Below are 11,648 nucleotides of genomic sequence, written 5' to 3'. Positions count from 1 at the left end.
TAATTATTTGGTATTATTATAGATATTTTAATTGTATTCTTGATGTGTCAGTTGATAATCTTTAAATCAAGCATACCTCCTTCAGATAAAGATAGCTGCCAACTGCTTCTCCTGCGATTGTGATCTTGTAGGTCATGGCAGAATACTCTACAACTTGAGCTTAGACATTTTAAAATAGGCATCCTTGAGCATATCCAAAGCTATGTTTTCCTCATTCCAGGTATTTCCCTTTCCATCTTCTAGGAATATCTCCTTCCCTTTTATTAACTTCTGTCTTTTTGCCAATTAACTTCTACATCATCATTAAGAGTTCCCTTCTCTAGTGAGCTACCTGGAACCTATGACATGTGAATCTTATGTGTTCCCTCAGTCCTCTGTGCACGCCCCACATCGTAGCACTTACAAGGTATTGCCTGTTAACTTGACTAAATCCTCACTAGACTGTAAATCAAGGAGAGCAAGGTTAAGCCCATATGGAATGAATATGAGCTATGTAACAGTGGATCTTTGCAACGTAAGAGAAGTGACTGGTTAAACAATCACATTCACCAGTTTTTCATAATAAAATTCCACACTTTATGGAACTCTCCTACAATATATTGATTTTCCAATTATATATTAATTTGTAAATCATGTACATTATAGAAAAAACTTCATAAAGTGTGGAAATTAATTATTTCTCCCTATAACTGTCAGTTCATTGGAACCTTTGTCACTGTTCGTGCACTCTGCATCATTGTGGCAATACTATTTTGTGCTCTTTAATTTATTTTAGGCACATATGACTTTATATTAATACACTCAACATAAAATCTTTGGTTCATTCTTAAATCACTTAAGTGCCCATTCTTGACAGTATTTTAAGACTACTTATATTTCCATCACTACTTATATTTCCAAGGAGATAGGTTTGTTTCTTTTTATTTGGATTCTATACACAGCAACAATTATGAACTTTATACCCTGTGATTGTTCCAGGCAGAACCTTTAGTAAATAGTTATGCAGGTATCTTGAGAGACCTGGTAAATATGTAGAATCTGGTCACTGGGTCCCTGATAAGGATAATTACTATTAAGTTGGGTTGCCTTCACTGAAGGGCAGACTTCTTTTTAAAAGTGCTTTTCAAATCAAGTCATCATTTGTCTAGTGGGAGGTTGTCTCCTGGAACAAATGGAGTAATCAGTTTTTAGACTTTCTATGTAAGTAAATCCCTTTAGGGTGGAGGGACAGTGGTACAAACTCTTACTCAGATTTTGTCATAATAGTCATTGCACCTGGAGAGTCAATTCATATGAGAACTCAAGGTTAGGCTAAAATTTCTGGGAAGTTAGGATAGGGTGGGGTCAGTGGAAATTAAACATGTTTGTTATATATTAATTTATTTTCTTTACACAAAAACTATGTATGGAAGAATGAGTCACATTCTAGACCCCAAAGTGGCACTCACGGGTCACTTGAACAGAGAGTTTCCTGCAAGATTTCATGATGGGCTGTGCCCCTAGGCCACCAGAATGTGAAATGTAATGGCCTCCATTTCAACTGAGTGAGTCAAACAAAGAAGGAATCTTGCAGTAAGTGACATTTTACACCATTCCTTCGCTTCCAGGACTTGCATTTCATCACATCTATCTCTTACTTGTCTTATCCTGTAACAGTTGAAAATTCCATCTTGTTTTGCTAGCAATTTGTGTCATAGCCAACTTCCACTTTTTGGGTCAAAGATGACTTTGAGGAAAGAGACTGTGGCAACCTGAAAAGATGGTGATGACTCTGAGTAAATGAATGAGGTCTCCAATTGTCACAAGTCAGCAAATATTTGCTGAGACCCAGAGGCTGTAACAGTAGTTAATGACATTGTTCTGTTGCTTTGTAGCTCTGTCAATTTACTGAGACAGAAAATATGATTATGTTACCAGTAGAACCATGGCCTCCAGAGCAGCCCTTTAAAGGCTTAGAAGCCTGTAGGCAAAATGGGTCCTGAAAGAACAATCATCTATTAGTCATGGTATTAAAGTCAGTACTCCAGGCATTTACTCATTTGCAGCTTTTTCTATTTTACAAGTTTAAGTATCTCATAAGATTTCACTTACTCCATAAACCCTTATATTAAAAAAAAAAAAAAGTAAAGAGAAAGCTCATTTCAAGTTTCAAGTAAAACTTTCCAATTTGGCAGAGGTACTAAATTAATTTTCATTAATTACTCAGCATGACAATTATTCACACAGCACCTAGCTCTGGGGTAATGGTAGTGAGCACGTCTGAGCCTGTAGGTCAGGGGTTTCAGAGGTGTGGGTTCAAGTCTCAGCTCTGCATCTGCATAACCTGGAAAAGGTCAAAAACCCATGGTTTTTGTAGTGTACATTTTCAAAGAGTTTTTAATATGTCTGACACTGTTCTGAGTACTTTATATTTAATCTCCATAACAACACTATCAAATAAGTATTGTCTCTATCTTTATTTTAAGGATAGGGAAAGTAAGGCACAGAGAAGTGGAAAACCGTCTAATGGAATGGAGTAAGGAGAAGGCAAAGTAGGATTCCATTCCAAGTAGGATTCCATTCCAAGCAAGCTGCTATAAGAGCTGGTGCTACTGACCACAGTGCTCAATTGCTCTTCATAAGATCCCATGCTACAAACAGTAGAGAAAAAAATCCCCTGGGAATAGTCTGTCTATTCCTCCATAAATTTAGTATCCAATCAGGCCTTGAATCGTAGAAAATTGGATATATCTACTTCAAATATAATAAAGGTAAGGCAGCACTTTTTGAAACTTTTCTTGGGAGTTAAAAAGTTAACTAACATTATTACAGATTTGTAAACAAGGTTTTATTTGACATGGGTCCCAAGAGGCTCATAAATATCTTCCAAAATATTGTGGAGACTTACTGGCTAAATCTCTCACCTGTGGCTTTGGCCAGTGCTGAACTAATGTTTTTTGCTGAGTATGGTCAGTGATTTTTATACTGTTATCCGATCTACTGGGTTTTACCCTGGGGCCCATCTTTTATCACATTATTTTGAAAATCCTAAATTACCTGTAAATAAAAAAGAAATCAATTTGCCTGTGCTCTGCTGAAAATTAGGTTCCGGTTAAACTTTAAAAAAAAAAATCTTTTTCTTATCAATAACCAAACTGTGCTCTTGGAGTTTAATTATTCTAAGACCATACATTGTTCAATGGCCAACCATGGAGTTGAAAAGCCTGATTTCATTTAGTTTATCTATAACCAATGATTTGGAACGTTAAATTTAGCCATATGATAGAATAAGGATGAAGAAAATCATAGGAAAAGTGTATTTTCAATAAGGTGTTTGAGAAGAGAATCAGATCTCTCTCTCTTTATTTTTCTGTCTCTCTTTGTATGTGGGTATCTGTGTGTTTTTTGAAGGTTAAGAAAGATGACCTTTCAAAAGTAAAGAGTAGTCATCAAAAGTCTGTTTAGTTACTAATATCTTCAAAAGTTTCTAGTGTAAAACATCTTTTTTATCCTTTGACTACCTCTTTTGAAATGCATTTGGGATATTGACCTCACCTTTCACCTCACTCCTGTTTCTCATTCTCTTATGACTCATATAACAACTCCACTCCTTCTTTTTCAAAAATGTGTGGCAGTTGTGACGGAAGTACTTCTGAGTCAGTCAGAAGTAGGGAAGAATGCCAAATGGCTGATTCACTCCCCAGAACTTGGAGGAGGAGACAATTAGGGAATTAACTTCAGTTGTGGGGGTAATGGTTTATACAGTGGTTTGTGCAAGCTCACTTACAACCTGTGACATGCAGGAAATTCACCTCAATTTTTTAATTCAAACACCTACACTACTCTTGTCTTAACCTGTTGGGTATGGGTACTATCAGGAAAAACATCCTTTCTTTGTAATTTTTTTCTGAGACAGAGTCTCACTCTGTTGCTCAGGTTGGAGTGCAGTGGCATGATCTCGACTCACTACAACCTCTGCCTCCCATTTCAAGTGATTCTCCTGCCTCAGCCTCCCCAGTAGCTGGGATTACAGGCACAGGCTACCATGCCCGGCTAATTTTTTGTACTTTTAGTAGAGATGGGGTTTCTCCATGTTGGCCAGGCTGGTCTTGAATCCTGACCTCAAGTGATCAGCCCACCTTGGCCTCCCAAAGCGCTGGGATTACAGGCGTAAACCACCACACCCGGCCTACAATCCTTTCTTTCTTTCTTTTTGAGATGGAATCTCACTCTGTCTCCCAGGCTGGAGTGCAGTGGCAGTCTTGGCTCACCACAACCTCCACCTCCCAGGTTCAAGTGATTCTCCTGCCTCAGCCTCCCAAGTAGCTGGGATTACAGGCATGTGCCACCAAGCCAGGCTAATTTTTTTTTGTATTTTTAGTAGAGACGGGGTTTCTCCATGTTGGTCAGGCTGGTCTTGAACTCCCCACCTCGGTGATCTGCCCACCTCAGCATCCCAAAGTGCTGGGATTACAGGTGTGAGCCACCATGCCTGGCCAGACAATCCTTTCTAAGACTTTCTTTATAAGTTTTAGAGTAGGAAAAAATATTGTCAGCAACTTAGGATCACTGCTATTTCATTTTTCTTGAAATGGGTCCAATAGGGTAGCCAAATTCCTTGGGTGAGGGTTCTATAGAAGTCTCACAAAATGAGGATCAAGTACAACCAGGTATGTACTATTAGATGTTATAATTGCCTTACACATTTGGGCTGAGAAGCACTCCATTGTGAAACTTGAAATACCCAAGAAGTAAAAAACAAAAACAAAAAAAAAAATAAAAACTGTTACAAAGAGCTCCTAAATAATACATTATTGCACCTATTTGTCTTATATTTGACCTAAAATTGAGTCTAAAATTTGATAAGGTGTTTTTAAATTTCACTTGAAAAAAGTAACAAATGTTCGAAATATATGGGGGCAAATCAAGCGTACGTTGCTCTTTAACTCATTCAGATATCATACCAGCGAGTGACTCTGGACTTTATTTCCCATAGTGAAGATGAAGAGATCTGTGTTCCATTTCATTGTAAGGCTGACAAAATCATCTCTCTCTACCATATATGTCTCCATTATGTCTAAGTTTCGTTTTTTAGACATGAATTTAAATTCATCTGTGTATCTCTCACCTTTTCCACATGAGAGTTAGGTAGGAAGTTACAAAGGAGGGATTCTATTCTTTGGGTTGAGAATGGAAACAGGCTTTGAATGCTACATGGCCATCTTTCAAATGTCATGCAACAGAGCTTCAGCAATGTATTACATTCAATGGGCATTGCGAAAGTTTGAGAAAAGGAACCAAGAGTAGCAGCACACTCCCATTGTTTGGTGTGGCAGAAGGAGTCTGGTAAACACAGAATTGAGAATAACTGAGATGGAAACAATGTTCAGAGTCAAAGCTTACAGATCAATATTTGGAAGACAATGAGAGTCAATGACCAGAAAAGAAGAATGTTGTCTTTCAGTCTATATAGAGTGCAAAAGTGGGCATTCTTTCCATTGGTCCTTTCCTCTGTTTCTACCTTGTGTGATTGTCCAGTTCTTTATAGAGCATGTGGTAGAGTCTTGGGAGACTCCAAACTGGTCAGTTTGTTTCTCTGCTTTTTTGTTTTAATGTTTCTTTGCTTTTTTGTTTTCTATTCTGTCTGAGAATCTGCTTTCTTGTCAGCAAGCCTTAATATTTTATTAGAAAACATTGTGAATTTTCTCAGTAAAGACAGTGTATTTACTTCTTCCTTCATATCTTTGATAGAACCTAAGAGGTGCTGTGTTCTCAGTAGGTCCCAATCCTCAGTGAAAGTGATACTTCATATTTCCCATCTTGTTTCTGAATAAGTTGAAAAGTAATAGACATGAAGGCTAAATTATCATTGTCTTCCTAAGAGAGATTAGGTTAGAGTACTGGGCTTTAGATTTGTTAACCCAAGTGGACTTGCTAATGTTGAACTCAGATTTAGGAAGAACCACTCCAGTCACAGCAAGGTGGGCCACAGGATGGGACTGTCTAGGGAATGCTTTTCCCAAGGAGGCACAAAGCAGAATTTCTACTCTCCATGGCTAGATTCACTCTCATCAGGAATACCTGGGAGCTGAGCCAGGCATACCCAGTAATTTTTCCAAATTTACTGGATAAGTCAGTCATCTCTCTAAATATGAAATGAGTAAAGATATTAAGAGAGATTCATGAGTATGCAGTTTGAACTCCCTTCATGGGAAGCAAATGCCAGGATTTGGGAAGAATCATCCTGCATTTGCATTTGCCCTTTGGTGAATGTAATGAATGGCCATTTGTGGACACATCATGTGTTTAGGTTGTGCATATATGTATACTGGGAGGATGCTTTATGCTGGAGATAATTTAAAGAAAATGTTAATTAATAGAAAGACTAGTTTGTTTTATTATGGGGAGTTTGGATTTGGTGGCAGGAGTTGTTCCTCTTTTTTCCAAATTGTATGTTTTCTATATGTGTTATATAGTAAATCCCAGCATATCACTTGCTTATTTAAATTGCTCCAACGGCTTCACACTGCACTTAGACTACAATCCAAACTCCTGTGATGGGCAGAAGGCCTAGCAGGCCTCCACATGGGGCCCTTGCCTACTCTGATCTCTCATATCTCCATGAATACTCTGCTCCAGGAGCAGCCATAACTTTTTATTGTTGATGGTCATTTTATTGATTTTTTAAAAAATTGATTACACAAAACTCTTTCCACTTAAAGCATAATTGTTGCTCACTTTACCTGGAGTCTTTGCATGTCTGAGTGCTTCTTGTCATTCAAGTATTTGCTCAAATGTCATTTCCTCAGAAAGGCCTTTCCTGACCACCTAGTCAAAAGTAGTCACCCGGTGACTTAGTCATCCAGTTGTTCTATTCTCTGCACAGCACTTACTGCAATCAGACATTTGTGTTTGTTGTTTATTTATTGTTTATTTTATTTCTCCTGTTGGTGGTCTGAAAACTCAATGAAACCAGTGGGCCTGTCCATCTTCCTTGCTACTGTGTATCCCAGTCATGCATTTGTTAGGAGCTCAACAAGTGTTTGGTCAATGAGTGAATAGTTCCCCTCATCACACTACTGCTGAGCATAAAAATCACCCTGTGTATACAGCAATTAGTTCAGAGGCCACGCCAAAGCATAATGTCAGTTTTGGACATAGATGAAAGTGAGGATGCATTTCCTAACAAGCTTGTTGCCAGCTAACACAGAGAAATGAGCATTGTTAACCAAAATATACCTTCACAAACTTGAGAACAATCACTATAGTTTCAGAAAACTTCATGAGATTTCACCGGCTAAAATATTTCAGTAGCTCGTAAGTATTCCCATGGGTCAAAAGCAGTTTTCATTCAACATTACTTGTTTTTCCAAAATGATTTGTGTTGAAAAGATTGGCATGGGAACAGACCCACAGACATTAGTCTAGATCTCAAACATTGTCTGTAAAAACAAAGGTACTATGCAGATTTCAAAAACCAGGTGTGTCATTGTTTGGGGATAATGAACCAGTATGGATAATCTAGTCTCATATCTTACATTTGAACTGCCTCTTATGACTGGCTTTTAGGGGAATTTTATCTTTGGGGCTATGATTCGACTTTCTACTCCCTGCTTTATCCCAATGGATCAACTTAGAAAGGTTGAGTATTTCAGGGGTAACTCTGATACAAGATTGAATATTATTTGAGATTGAATTTCAGTTTTGAAGATTTTGTTTGATGTGCATCTTGGTGTCCTGAAGGGAGGCAGGCAAAGTGTGCATCACTATGGCACAAGTATGTTTGTGCTTTTCCCTCTTTCACCATCTTCCTTCCAACCAGGTCTTCTAGATACATATGGACCATTAAGTAGTAGTGTTGATACTCTTGTTTGTCTCCTTCATCCCAAAGTATTTGTTTAATATCCAGCAATGTGATGAGGAAGGTGAGGCCTCCTCCAAGAGCTGGAGCTGCACATGGGTGAGTTCATGGTAGCCTCAGGTTTAGGGCATGGTCCTGGAAGGGAGCAGTTATTTTCTTTTCTTCATCTAGATCTGCCTAATTTATGTGTGTGTGTACATGTGTGTGTATATATGAATTGCTTTTCCACAGGAATTGCTTTTTCATTGTGAGCATTTGATAAATCCTGGTCTCTCATGCTTTATTTCATGCACCTGTAATTCAGGCACACAGATTTATCTAGACTATGACTCAAGGATCTCTGAGGTTTATACTGAATTTCTAGACTTAGCTTAAAGTTTCATCTTTGTTAATATGAAGTGGTTCCACAGATGAACAAACAGTGCCAAACACGAAGTGAGGTGTACCGACGGTCCATTTTTACGTTATCATTTTGATTCTATTAGCCACCAGCTTGAATACTGCCAGATGTGAGTGCCAGAGTGAAAGTGGTGAAGAAAAGTTGATACATCTGAGCCAAAAGGAGATATGCTGAGTTCCACTTTAAACTTAGAGGACTACTTAAGGGAAGTATTGCTTCTTGAGTTGAAAGCAATAAGCACAATCCAGTAAATTCAATCTCTTTTGGAGGGGAGTCTGCCTCAGGATCTGGTCTTTTTACTCATGTCAAGACCAATTCCTTCCTAAATTCCCCTGCACAAAGAGAATGCATGGACTGAGGGGCTATGTGCTAGAATCTCTCTTGGTTTAAGATTTTACCCTATTTGCCAAGGACTAGAGGGTAAGGAAGTATAGTTTGTGGAAAGGAATTAAGATAAAGTCATCGACCTGCATGTTATGTCTCATAGCATGAAGAAAAGCACTAAAAGTTCATTGTCATCCTTAGTATATACGAATTGTCAGAAACCCACCCAATGGGGAAAGGGATTTTGTCTTTTTCTCTGGTGGGGCTAGAAAAGTACCTAGTAAAAGATCAATGGATATTTATTGAAAAATTGAATCAATGCATCGATGAAGACCTTACATTCTGTCACACTTATCTGAGTCAGAATTCATTTGCCCCTGATAAATAAATTCTCCTGCTTCAGGCCTCAGGTCAGATCAAAAGAGGAGACCACATCATAATGGGGTGATTTACCAGCTCGGATCCACATCATACTCATCATTTTTCACTTACAAACACATTACAGTTTGAGGAACAGAAAGCATGACTGTACATCCCTGCAAATACTTGTCAGCTTGTGAACAGGTCCAGAGATAACCCACTAGATAAGTCGGTTGCATCATTCAAGAAAATCATTTACTAGACCGAGAAGGAATCCAGCTTTTTCTTGCACGCAATGGGCAGGTGAGTTCAGAGAACAAGGGAACATGCTGTAGGATTTTCGCTGCGTTTCAAGCATTGCAGTGCAGTTACAAGTTAGGGTGAGCTGGGTCAGTTTACTTAGCACAGCTTACCATTGCGTTTCGTCAGAGGATCAATAGGTAAATTTCTTGTGACTGGGCTCTGGAAAACCCAACTCTCACCTGGAAAGGTCAGAAGAAAAAAAAATACATAAACAGTTAACATTAATTTTCTATGGGAATTAGCCCCTCTTCCATTTGTAGCTCTAGGTTTGTGCACAAATTGATAAGCCACCAGGTAATCCTAGGAAAAGTACTACAATTATCTTTGTGGATGTTTGTCTGGACTCTATGCTGTACTCTGCTCCTGAGTTATTAAGAAGTAGCTAACCTTCTTCATACCTGAAACCTACTGATGTCTAAAGATGTAAGAGATTATATAGATTCTTCTCTAAGGAAAAGCAGTAGGAAAAAATATTCTGATCTTTTTCTGTGATTTCCTTCTCAGTTTTGTGCCAATTTCTAGACATATTTACAGAATATAATTATAGAAATCAAACGGTATCAAACAAAGCATCTTTGGTCTGTCATGAATATTCAGTCCTAAGATAAAACAAATCAGTTTAGATTTGAGGAAGATTAGAAAGAAGATTTGTGGAATGACGTTTAAGAAGTTAAGAATGCCTGGTTTCATTCAGAATTTTCAGATGTGTCCTATTGGTGAATGGGCTTTATTTGTAGTTCCTATGTAAGTTTACATTTTTTCGGTAATGTTTAAAACGTTTTCTGCTAAGATTGCCTTTCTAACTCAGAATTTCCTTCCGTGCTCTGAGAGGATTTGTTCTAGAGATAAGCATCGATATCTATGGCTAATAATTATTTAACAGTTATGACTTACTAGCATTACAACGACTCTGTGAGACAGATTCTACATTGGTCTGAGGTTTGGATAGCTTTATTTATTTTTTTTTAAAAGGCCTTTTTATTAACTCTAAATTGAACATTAAGCTAAGCACTTGAACTACAAAACTAGAGAAATTATAATAAAAAAATCTCTGTAGTCTTGAGGAGGCAAAGATTTCTTAGAGCAAAAACAAAGAAACAATAACAAGGAAAAATGCACCCAGCATTGAAAAATGTTAAGAAACTAAAAGGTAAATCACAGATTAGGAGACAATATTATAAAATTATGTCTGATAAATAACACAATTGAGTAAGAAGAGGATAACCTGATTTTAAAATGATTTGAACCCATGCTTTACAAAAGAAGATATAAGAAATGCATGAAGTCCATAGAAGGATCCCCAATATCACAGTCATCAGGGACATGTAAATTCATACTGTGATGGAGTACTACTACAAACCCACTAGAATGGATAAAAATCAAAAGATCTACAATGCTGAGATATGGTAAAGATGTAGAGCAATTATAACTCTCATGTATTGGTGTGGGGATGCAAAATGATATAATCTTTTAAGAAACAGTTTGACAGTTTATTATATAATTATATATTTACCATAACAGCATTCCCAATCCTAAGTATTTTCCAAAGTGAAATAAAAGCATATGTCCAGAAAAGAATGGGTACTCTATTCATATAGTAGCTTTTAAAAATAATAGCCCTAAACCAGATCCAACCTAAATCAACTTGTGAATGAATAAAAAATGTGTATTATTGTGGAAGTCAGTGTGGCGATTCCTCAGGGATCTAAAACTAGAAATACCATTTGACCCAGCCATCCCATTACTGGGTATATACCCAAAGGACTATAAATCATGCTGCTATAAAGACACATGCACACATATGTTTATTGCGGCACTATTCACAATAACAAAGACTTGAAACCAACCCAAATGTCCAAAAATGATAGACTGGATTAAGAAAATGTGGCACGTATACACCATGGAATGCTATGCAGCCATAAAAAAATGATGAGTTCATGTCCTTTGCAGGGACATGGGTGAAATTGGAAATCATCATTCTCAGTAAACTATCACAAGGCCAAAAAACCAAACACCGCATGTTCTCACTCATAGATGGGAATTGAACAATGAGAACACATGGACACAGGAAGGGGAACATCACACCCTGGGGACTGTTGTGGGGTGGGGGGAGGGGGAGGGATAGCATTAGGAGATATACCTAATGCTAAATGACGAGTTAATGGGTGCAGCACACCAGCATGGCACATGTATACATATGTAACTAACCTGCACATTGTGCACATGTACCCTAAAACTTAAAGTATAATAATAATAAAAAAAAGGAAAAAAAATGTGTATTATACCCATTCAATGAAATGTATCTTATAATAAAAGGGAACGAACTCCCACATATGTACCAAGATGAACAAATCTCAAATCATTATGCTAGTTGAAATAACACAAGTGCAAAAGATGGCATATGTGTGATTGTATTTGTAT

The 11,648-nt window shown here is 37.6% G+C and overlaps 4 annotated features.

Moving 5' to 3' along the window:
* Positions 3,024-4,225: an enhancer, noted in NCBI's record as "P300/CBP strongly-dependent group 1 enhancer chr4:75584575-75585774 (GRCh37/hg19 assembly coordinates)". NCBI's record gives its function as "activates an origin of replication core promoter dependent on BRD2, BRD4, P300/CBP, MED14 and CDK7 cofactors, with strong dependence on P300/CBP, by STARR-seq in HCT116 cells {active_cell/tissue: HCT116}" and the evidence as "EXISTENCE:reporter gene assay evidence [ECO:0000049][PMID:35650434]".
* Positions 3,642-4,141: an enhancer, noted in NCBI's record as "H3K27ac hESC enhancer chr4:75584659-75585158 (GRCh37/hg19 assembly coordinates)". NCBI's record gives its function as "activates a minimal SCP1, AML or CMV promoter by ChIP-STARR-seq in naive H9 embryonic stem cells {active_cell/tissue: H9 hESC(naive)}" and the evidence as "EXISTENCE:reporter gene assay evidence [ECO:0000049][PMID:30033119]".
* Positions 5,134-5,428: a silencer, noted in NCBI's record as "tiled region #10751; HepG2 Repressive DNase matched - State 7:EnhWF, and K562 Repressive non-DNase unmatched - State 23:Low". NCBI's record gives its function as "represses a minimal TATA promoter and a strong SV40 promoter by Sharpr-MPRA in HepG2 and K562 cells {active_cell/tissue: HepG2 | K562}" and the evidence as "EXISTENCE:reporter gene assay evidence [ECO:0000049][PMID:27701403]".
* Positions 8,421-9,620: an enhancer, noted in NCBI's record as "BRD4-independent group 4 enhancer chr4:75579177-75580376 (GRCh37/hg19 assembly coordinates)". NCBI's record gives its function as "activates an origin of replication core promoter dependent on BRD2, P300/CBP, MED14 and CDK7 cofactors, and independent of BRD4, by STARR-seq in HCT116 cells {active_cell/tissue: HCT116}" and the evidence as "EXISTENCE:reporter gene assay evidence [ECO:0000049][PMID:35650434]".

This window comes from Homo sapiens, chromosome 4 (assembly GCF_000001405.40).
Source record: "Homo sapiens chromosome 4, GRCh38.p14 Primary Assembly".
In the NCBI taxonomy this organism is placed as follows: Eukaryota; Metazoa; Chordata; class Mammalia; order Primates; family Hominidae; genus Homo; species Homo sapiens.
Note: the sequence above shows the minus strand (reverse complement) of the source record. Positions and strands in the feature narration are given on the sequence as shown.